This window comes from Homo sapiens, chromosome 15 (assembly GCF_000001405.40).
Source record: "Homo sapiens chromosome 15, GRCh38.p14 Primary Assembly".
Lineage (NCBI taxonomy): Eukaryota > Metazoa > Chordata > Mammalia > Primates > Hominidae > Homo > Homo sapiens.
This window is the reverse complement of record NC_000015.10, coordinates 93,373,599-93,384,297: the sequence shown is the minus strand read 5'-3', so window position 1 is coordinate 93,384,297 and position 10,699 is coordinate 93,373,599. Positions and strand designations below refer to the sequence as shown.

Here is a 10,699-nt window from a genome sequence, read left to right as displayed (position 1 = left end):
GTAGGCCAGAGTTAAAAAGATAACCAGGAAACCAGGTTGGAATGCACTCCAATCTAGGCACAAAACTCTAAACCAGATCTTACATATGAAAAATTATCAGACCAGCAATGAAACTTTGGTCTTTATCTCAAGCTTTCACATAACTTGGGACCCAAATTTTGGACAAAGAAAAGTTTTAGGATTAGAACCCAGGATAGCAAGGGCCTTGAAGCTAGGTAGCCTTGACTTCACCAATTCTGGGTCTAGCTTTAGAAATGTATCTCTAAACTGTTTGCTCATCATGGAAGTGTGTCTCTTTCCATTTGTTGCAAAAATCAAATCAGAGAACTTTTTTTTTTTTTTTTTTTTTTTTGAGAGGGAGTGTCACTCTGTTGCCCAGGCTGGAGTGCAGTGGTGCAATCTCGGCTCTCTGCAAGCTCCACCTCCCGGGTTCATGCCATTCTCCTGCCTCAGCCTCCCGAGTAGCTGGGACTACAGGCGCCCGCCACCACGGCCGGCTAATTTTTTTTTTTTTTTTGTATTTTTAATAGAGACAGGGTTTCACCGTGTTAGCCAGGATGGTGTTGATCTCCTGATCCGCCCACCTCAGCCTCCCAAAGTGCTGGGATTACAGGCATGAGCCACCACACCCAGCCAGAGAACATTCTTGAAAGCACTGAACACCATACTTGGCACAGAGACGGCACTCAGAAGAGGTTGCCGTCATTCGTCATGAAGGAAAAATTCTCACCCCACGTATTGGCGATTCCTTCTCGTCAAAAGACCAAGATATATTATAGCTATTATGCCCTTCTGTCTCCAGTGTTTTCTATAGAAGTTGATTAGAAATGTGGCTTGCACATTGACGGTGCCCAATCAGCCATCAGCTTACACACAAACCAGCTGCAGGGCCAACCTGCTGGAGCCCAGCATGGTCAGAGCTCTTACCCAGAGCCACAGAGGAAGCACTTTGCCTCCACATGCCTGACACTGAGTGGGGAGTCAGGACTCAGCTCCAATAAGAGTCCTTGTCTTCAAAAGAGCTCGCGTAGGCAGTGGGACAAGGCAGCCAATGTCAAGTGTCATAAGAGAAATACAAAAATGAGAGCCTTGGGCTCCCTAAGTCCAGCATTTGGGCAGAGACTTGAAAACAAAATTTGAAAGAGTAATTGGAGGGTGAAATATTGCAGACTGAAGAAGAAGAAGGGTTGCTTCCCTGTCATCAGCAGAATTATCAGGAAAAGACAACACTGAATAAACAGAGCCCATTGGGCCAGGCTGGCCTCTGGGGTGTAGGTGTGCAAGGTGAGGGTACACGTGCACAAGCGCTTTTGTGTTCTGTTCCCTCTGGAATTTCAGCTTTGCTTCTCATTTGCCTCCTTACAACATAAGTTTAGAAATACATTTAAAAGGGATTTTTCTGTCTGCTGAGGGCTAAAGGGAGAGTGGACAAAAACGCATTAAGAAGATGCTTCCCCTTGAGCAATTTTTATGCATTCAGTTGCTGTAACTTGAAAGAACACCTCACATCCCTTTGAGTGACCCAGAAAGAGACACAGGGCATGGAATCTCTTAATCTTCTCTCTCCTAAGGTACTGCTTTAGGAGCAGAGTGTGGGTCATTGCAGCTGCCACCAGTAGTCTTTGGCGGAGGTCACTCCAGAAAGTTTCACCCCAGCTGGAATATCTGTGGCTCCCAGATATTTCGTTCTGGCTCAGCCTTCCTGTCTGTGCCAACCACGATGATTAAAAATGTGTCCAAAGTAAACCTCAGACAACTGGACCTTCCTCAGCAACGTGGGGGGCACTTGGTGTTAGAGGGTGGTCCCTGGGTTGCTGCAAACGTTGCCCCAGGTGCTCGGCAGCTGGCTGCAATGGCTCGTGAAATTCTATCCTTCCAGCTCCCAGCATGCTGAAAAGTAACCCAGGGAAGCCAACAGCCTTGTCCCACCTGTGGAAATTAATGGTGCCAGCTCAGCATATTGGCAGAGAAAGGAAATTTACACAGCAAACAAACTGCTGAAAAATTGGAAATATTTGCTTAACAGAAGCACATTGATTAAAGTCACTCCGAGATCAAATTACTCTCCCAGCCTGGGCAATTTCATCCCGGAGGGCAGCAGACTTATACTGGCAAAATATTGATGAAAAGCTCTCACTATGTCTAGAGGTACCATATTAGGGGTGTTAATCTCAGAAGTGGCCCATAATTTTTCTTTTACACCCAGACTCTTCATTTGAAAGAGTTTAATTCTAATACAAATAGTAATAAGGAAATAAAAGCATTGATGTATGTCTTTCCAATATCCGTCTTTGGTAAGAACTTTTCACTTCTATGGTCAATTAAAGCTCATCTTAAATAAAAAGTTAAGCTCATTCCAGCAGACTTCCAAGGTTACTTGGTTTCTCAAATCTTCCTCAATTTCAAAAAAAAAAAATAAAGGTACAGCTAAAGCCACTCCTTAACAATAAAGACAAGCAAACCACCAAATAAATATGTATAGCATGAGTTATAATGAAGGAGAGAAATTAGCAATTCCAAGAAGGGTCCTTCCACTGGTTCCTGAAGAGAAGGGCATTGGAGTGCTGGTCTGAGGTCAGCCAGATGCTTAGGGAAGTTCTTCAGGGGTTTGAAGAGGTAGATTAAGGTCTCCTCGGATCCCTGCTGCTGCCAGCTGAGACACTGATTCCTCATTACAGCCCTAACAATAACCCACATCCAATCTGCCAAAGGATTTGAAACAATCCATGAAGGGGCAAATATTTGCTTTGCACACTTCTGCTGCTTCTTTTGGTAAGAATAAAATTATTTGTTAAATGGATGAGTAATTGTGCATATTTGTGGAGTGCATTGTGATGTTTCTATACATATAATTGTATAGATTATACATATAAGGGATACACAATTACAACTAAATAGGAGGAATAAGTTCTAATGTTCTATATCACTGTAAGATGACTATAGTTACCAATGATATATGGTTTCAAATAGCTAGAAGGAGGATATTAAATGACCTCAACACACACACACAGAAAGATAAATGTTTAAGATGATGCATATGATAATGACCCTGAGCACTTGTGTACTCTACTTCCGCTTCTTAAGGTCAGCCATGATGAAACGGACTTTCTCAAACTCTGGCTCAGGTGGGCTTCCTTTGTGGTCCTCTCACAAATGAAGGAGCCCAAATGCATGCTGGAAAAGAACACTCCAATGTGCGCCTCTTCACCCCTGTACACCTAAATATGCAGTAGCTGCAAGACACAAGGGCTTCAGGGTTGCAAGAGAAAGCACTTGGGGGCCAGCTGACTGTAAGCCTGCTCTGCCCTGACTCCAACAAACAGGATGCTCTGGGCTGCCCACCACTTCTTGCAGACCTGGAATCGCCCTCCCTTTTTCACCCCCAAGGGGAGCCCCCAGGCCACCGGAACACGCAATGCTTCCCTTGACTCAGCCACCTGTCTCCAGCCTAGGACAGTCTGAACTGGCAGTCTGCACACCTGAATTACAATGACAATGAATGCTCCAAGGAGGAACCCTCGTGAGCAAATGGAAAGCTCCCTACACTCTGCCAGAAGTCATAGATCCACTCCTCCCACCCAATTGCCTGCCTCTGAAGAGAGGATGGAACCCGCCATGCCCGTGCACACGCACACACATGTACAAGTGCACGCACACACACGATCATAACAACAGGCACTTAGATGGGATTTGAAAAGGATTTTGCTTATATTAACTCATCAGGAACAGGGGTGGGGTGACGGTGGGCAGGGAATGGCAATGATGGGGTGGAGGGAGGTAGAAGGTGTGGAGACGGTGGGGCAGGGAGAGATGGAGGAACCCAGAGGCCGGAGGGAAGCCACCATGCTTAAGCACCTGGGTTCCAGGTACTGCTCTGGGTGTGCTTTCTTCATTTATCTCACTTAATTCTCACAGCACTCCTGTGAGAAGCTTAGGTTCAACCCTGGCTGCACATTACAGTCACCTGGGAAATCTTTTAAGTAACACAGTAGCTGAGCTCCAACAACCTGGATCAATTGAATCAGAATCTCTAGGGGTAGAACCCAGCTAGCCACGGTTTTGTTGTTGTTGTTTTGAGAGTCTCGCTCTGTTGCCCAGGCTGGAGTGCGCTGGTGGGATCTTGGCTCAGTGCAACCTCTGCCTCCTGAGCTTAATTGATCCTCCCACCTCAGCCTCCCAAGTAGCTGGGACTACAGGCGTGCACCACCACACCTGGCTAATATCTGTAGTTTTTGTAGAGATGGGGTTTCACCATGTTGCCCAGGCTGGACTCAGACCCCTGGGCTCAAGCAATCTGCCTGCCTCGGTGTCCCAAAATGCTGGGATTACAGGTGTGAACCACTGCACCTGGCCAGCCATGGTTTTTTGTTTGTTTTTTTGAGACGGAATTTCAGTCTTATTGCCCAAGCTGGAGTGCAATGGTGTGATCTCGGCTCACCACAACCTCTGCCTCCTGGGTTCAAATGATTCTCCCCCCTCAGCCTCCCGAGTAGCGGGGATTACAGGCATGCACCACCACGCCTGGCTAATTTGTGTGTTTTTAGTAGAGACGGAGTTTCTCCATGTTGGTCAGGCTGGCCTCGAACTCTCGACCTCAGGTGATCCGCCTGCCTCAGTCCCCCCAAAAGTGCTGGGGATTATAGGCATGAGCCACCATGCCCAGCCCTAGCCATGGTTTTTAAAAGCATCCCAGGCAATTCCACTGAGCAGCCAGGATTGAGAATCGCCATACCAAAGAACCTCTAAGCTCCTTTTCCACTGCTATACTATGAAATACTGCCCTTCCCCCACCCACACCCTGCACCCCTGGCTCTAGGCCTGTCTAGACCTATAGCCAGGCAATAAAATGCCACCCAGAGAAACTGGGGATTTTTGCTTTGCAAGTTTCGGTAAAGAAGTGAATTTGAATCAAATTTTACTTTCTTAAACTCTTTAAATTCCTAAGGCTTGCTTCAGTCTTGAAAATATAGGATCACGTATCTTAGAAGATTTGCAGTTTTGGGGATAATTTCTTTTTCCCTTTTCACCTAGATGTGGAGCTACTGCATTAGACCTCACTCCTCGTTTGATTATGACATGCAGTGAGCAGCCAAATGTCATTTTGAAGAATAATTTTTTTTGGCTTAGGAGAAAATGCATGCTCTAGTTCCTGATAATTGATTTGCAAGGTTCCAATTTAAGCAGCAAATTGCTCCCGTTACCCAGGTATTTCATATCTTATATGGGCACTTAGATAGAAAACTCAATATTCCTTATGCTGACCAGGAAATGGCAGGAAAAATTGCAGTTTAAATTTTGGATCCTTTCTCTATTTATATTTTAATATCATTCTAAGAAGTCTTGGTTACAAATGTATCAGGGCAGTTAAAACATAATAGTGTCTTTTAAGTGGCCTTGTTTCCCCAGGAAAGGCTCAGCCCTCTCTCTAGCCATGTAATTAATCCTGATAATAACACCACCTGAGCCCAGGAGTGAGTCAAGCTGGAGGACTTTAATTTACCATCAAGGAAAAGGAGAGCCTGAGGTTTGCTCAGCTGTCAGTGATGGAACCAGGGCAAGAAGCCAGGCTCCCTCAGCACCAAAACAAGACAAAGAGCCGGAGACCCAGGGCAGGATTCCCGGCTTTCCAACCCCAGCTCGGAAGCTTGTTCCAAACATAAAACTTTGAGAAAAGCCACGTCCTCCCCTCTGTAGGCCACGGTTCTCTCCTTCGTAAAAAGAACAGGTTGCGGGCCGGGCACGGTGGCTCATGCCTGTAATCCCAGCACTTTGGGAGGCCGAGGCGGGTGGATCACGAAGTCAGGAGATCGAGACCATCCTGGCTAGCACGGTCAAACCCGTCTCTACTAAAACTACAAAAGATTAGCCAGGCGTCGTGGCGGGTGCCTGTAGTCCCAGCTACTCGGGAGGCTGAGGCAGGAGAATGGTGTGAACCCGGGAGGCGGAGCTTGCAGTGAGCCGAGATCGCGCCTCTGCACTCCAGCCTGGGCGACAGAGCGAGACTCTGTCTCAAAAAAAAAAAAAAAAAAAGAACAGGTTGCGGGAGAGAATCTCTGGTGTCTTTTCCAACATTAACAACCTGTGGCCTGAGCACCTCAGGCCCGAGGAGTGGTGAGGCACCAGCCTCAAGGTAGGGCCCATCCAGGCTTGACGGCCAACTTAGCCACTTAGCAACTGAATGGCTTTAACGATCATTTTCATCAATTGTAAAATTAAAACAATAAACAGCTGCCATCACACAAAGTTGTTGCTACCACTAACGTGTCAAAGTGCAGGAGACGCTCAGCCCAGCACCCGGCAGGGGGAGGTCCTTAAGCTCCCTGGGAAGATTTGCTCTTATGGAAAATGGGACCGGCCCACAGTCTTGTCTTTCTAACTGAACTCCCTGGTCCTTCTGTTATCCTCTCAAATTCACCACTAGATTATCTAGAAATACTCTGGACTTTCCTCGAGTGACCTCCCTAAGCAAGACAGGAAACCTTCCAAACTGGCCCACACTCCCGATGGGTTAGATCTGGCAACTCCAACATCCACGTGCATTCTGCTGTCCAGAGACCACTGCCCAAGAACAGAGTAGCTATGGGCTGCCCCCACTGCTGGGGAGAGGCTCTGTTCAGAGCCCATCTCTCTCTCTCTCTCTCTCTCTCTCTCTCTCTCTCTCTCTTTCGTGTGTGTGTGTGTGTGTGTGTGTGTGTGTGTGTCACCCCCTCCCTTTCTCCACTTTCCCAAGTCATTCATTTTTACCCACTTTATATTCCATTTTCTTCCTGGCTCCTCCTTTATGGCTTCCGACCTTTTGTCCCCTTCTCCTATGAAGGGCCACACCTTGCTCCCAGGACTTGAGCTTAGCCCTTAGATGACACTAATTCCGGCTCTTTCAGGCACATATTTTGCCCCAATCTCTGGAGCATCACATCCCAACACAGATTACCCTCAGTGACTCTTCTGAATGAACCTCAGGTCCTTCAAAAGGATCTGGCCAAAACCATCCCACAAAAACTACAGAGGGGCAGGCAGTCCAGAAAGGGGAGAAGGCATTGAAATACCAGAGCTAGAATCCCTGCCATCTCCGAGTTGATAGGAAATATAAAACTATCCCATCCAGCATCTCATCTGATGTTCCAAAACCTACTACCACAGCTCTACCAAATGGTCCCCAAGATGGTTTTGGTTCATGTCCAATAATAAGGAATGCTTTACTGACCAACGATAGGTCCTTCACTTCTAGACAGCTCTGATCATTACAAATCCCTTCCTTAGACCATCTTCCTGTGGCCCCTCCCTCTGTAGAATTGGTTTGTTGGTGAAATGGGATCCCAATGTATGTGACCTTTCTTTGATACATCAGCCATGTCTTTCACTCATAGGTGTTTTCTCCCATCTCAAAGGGCTTTGGCCATCCTTGGCCCTCTTTAAGGAATTTGCTACCCTGCGTCCCACCCGCCAAGGCACTGGGTGTGGCATGAGCAGAATATAACAGAGAACTCTCCCACCCCTGCTTTGAGCACCTGTATCTGCAAACACTGCCTGGCCCGAGGCAGTCCCATCCCGCAGTGTGCTCATTTGAATGTGTTCTCTATCACATTGTTGGGTCCTTCCAATTTGGCATTTGGGTAAATGGTTTTTTGGACCCAGGCATTAGATTTTATTAGATTTTATTCTTATCTCTCTTTTTATTTCTATCTCATCTTGGTCTCCTGCAACACATGAATGGAGACATTGAGTCAGTATCACCAGGGAATTCTCAGACATGAGGTCCTTGGAGCCCAGTGGTGGTCAAACCTGCCTCCTCAGGTACAAGACTGAATCTCACCTTCAGATCTCACTTTTGGATTGGCCCTTGAATCCACAGACACAGCATTCAAAGGGACCTCAGGTCATAGAATTTAACCCTCCCATTTTTCTGTTAAGGAAATGAGCCAAAGACTTCCTATGGCATATTTGATAGGGACCTGAAGTTTGCAAATCTGGGTTTAAATCCTGGCTTACTTTTTACTGTCTAGATGTCCTTGAGAAAGTGTATGAGCTTCCTAGGACTACTATAACATATTACCACAATCTATGTGGCTCAAAACAACAGAAATTTATTCCGTCACAATTCTGGAGACCAGAAGTCTGAAGTCAAGGTGCGGCAGGGTTGGTTCCCACTGGAGGCTCTACAGGAGAGTCTCTCCCACGCCTCTCTCCTGGGTTTTGGTGGCTTCTGCCAACCGTGGGTGTTCCTTGGTTTCTTGCTAAGGAACTCCAATCTTTGCCTTGTCTTCACATGGCTGCCTTCTCTGCGTGTCTTTGTGTCAGACCTCCCTCTCCTTCCCTGTAAAGAAAAGCCCACCCTAAATCCAGGAGGACTTCATCTGGAGATTCTCAACTTAATTATACGTATAAAGACCCTATTTCCAAATAAAGCCACACTCACAGGAACTAGGGTTTAAGACTTGGACAGATCTTTCTGGGGACACTATTCAACACATTGCACTTAGTAATGTTCTTTCCCATGAGTGAAATGGGAATATTTGAACCCTGTTGGAGGTAACACACTTCATGCAATTCCTGGCATGTAAAAGTTCATAATTTAATCCTATGTAAACTATAAACATTATGGTTATCATTATAATCAGTAAATGTTTTTGTGAGGTCAATAAATTAGTAGTGGCGGTGAGTGCACGCCCTCTGACCCCAAGCCCAGTGCTTTCCCAGAATTCCCTTTCGCCGTTATGGGAGAGTAGCCGAGCCCCTCAGCCTCAGGTATGTTCTTTCCATGTTGAGTTGTCTGAATTGTAACACTCAGGGTCAGCTTGGAAGACTGGAGAAACCAGCAGCCTGTGTGGGGCTTGAAGAATCTGAGGCAGAAGCCATATCCAGCAAATTGATGCGTAGCTTAGTCACAGTAGTGAATTGTGATGTTTAACTTCCAAACTGGAGAGGCTCCCTGTTCCCCTCATCCCCAGCCTTGGGGCGATGTGATCCTTCCTGACTGGTCACGGGAGCAACCTCATTCCACTGCAATCACGATGGTGGCTCATGCCTCAGATTTCATACCTAGCTTTGCTTAACGCCCCCGCCTCCCGCAAAAATCCCAGCCTTGCTTAGGGAGTATCCTCTCTTCTTTCCATTCCTGATCCCTCCATCTTCACTCCTCAACCTCCTTCCTGACCCCACTTGCCATTCTTCCAATCATTATTCCAGGCAGAGCAAGTCAACCTATACTTTCATGAAATCGCCACACTTGAAACCCACATTTTCACATAACATCAAAAATGCTTTTGTCCGCAGAACAAAGAAGTATAAAAACAATTGGAAAGGAGGGTTCTTTCCATAAGCCTAGCTACCAATTAGACGGTCATTTGCTGGAAGTACTGGATCTAGGGGAACCTGCCTATCCTCATATTCTTGACATCTATGATACACAGGGGGTTTGCGGCAGTGCCCCCCAAAACTCCACTCACCTCCACTAGGATGCCCTAAAACATTTCATTCTACCATTCTATCATCTGGACTGGCTTTTTCCTACCCCAGTCTCAGCCCCCAACCCCATCCTGCCTCTGCCTCCTTATCCTCTACTCATCTTTCAATTCCTGGCTCAGATGTCACTTTCTCAGGAAAGCCCCTCATCCCCTATAATATCCTCTTTCATGTCACTGTGCTCTCCTTCACGGCACTGAGCACACTATGAAATTATATGTTTATCTGTGCAATTATTTGATTAATGTCCAATAATGACAAGTAAGCCCCAGGTAACAGATGTGTTCATTATTTTTGCCACTGTATCCTGGAACGCATAATAAATGTTTGATGAGGCTTTATGAATGAATGAATGAATGAATGGAAAGCGCCTGTTGGGTTACAACATTCCTGTATTATGTATTTGCTTGAAATCTTTCTCTAGTTTACACACATGCATACAACCTCATCCAAAGCCTCTGTGCGTGGAAGAAAGGTAATTAAAGGCAGAGTGCAGTTATTCACTCCTGTAATCCCAGCGCTCTGGGAGGCCAGGAGTTCTAGACCAGCCTGGGCAACATGGAAAAACCCCAGCTCTACCAAAAATACAAAAATGAGCCAGTCTTATAAGCCCGTCTCTAAATAAATAATACAATTTTTAAAAAGGTAATTGAAGAATGAAGTTGGGATGAAGGCACTGTTTATACCACAGACAACTTCTGGTCAAATATTAATACCAGCCTCTCTTAAAAGTACCCTGCTCTGGGCCCTTGAACCCTGGCCAACGTGGGAATGTAACTGACAACTGCCACCTTTGGGAACATGCTGGGTCAGGAGCATGCTGCGAGCCTGTTCCTCACTCTCTGCCTTGCCACACTACTTTACCTCCCAGCCTACCAGACAAATTTCAAATAATGGCATTCACAGCAACCTGGATGGAATTGGAGACCATTATTCTAAGTGATAGAACCAGGAATGGAAAACCAAACATCGTGTGTTCTCACTTATATGTCAGAGCTAATCTATGAGGACCCAAAGGAGTAAGAATGACACATTAGACTCTGGGGACTCAAAGGAAGGGTCGGGGGGTGGTGAGGGATAAAAGACTACACATTGGGTACTGTGTACACTGCTTGGGTGATGGGCGGGTACATCAAAATCTCAGACATCACTGCTAAATAACTTATTCATGTAACCAAATACCACCTGTTCCCCAAAAACGTACTGAAGTAAAAAAATTAATTTAAAAAATAAAAAT

At 46.1% G+C, this 10,699-nt stretch overlaps 1 long non-coding RNA gene across 1 annotated transcript in view; it reads right to left on the bottom strand.

Moving 5' to 3' along the window:
• Window positions 1-607: 607 nt before the first annotated feature.
• The window catches only part of LOC105370982 (uncharacterized), a 171,228-nt gene continuing 161,136 nt past the window's right edge, over window positions 608-10,699 (bottom strand). Inside the window, exon 7 of the long non-coding RNA XR_007064770.1 lies at window positions 608-1,929. This is a non-coding gene — a long non-coding RNA (uncharacterized LOC105370982). The remainder of the gene's footprint in view (window positions 1,930-10,699) is intronic.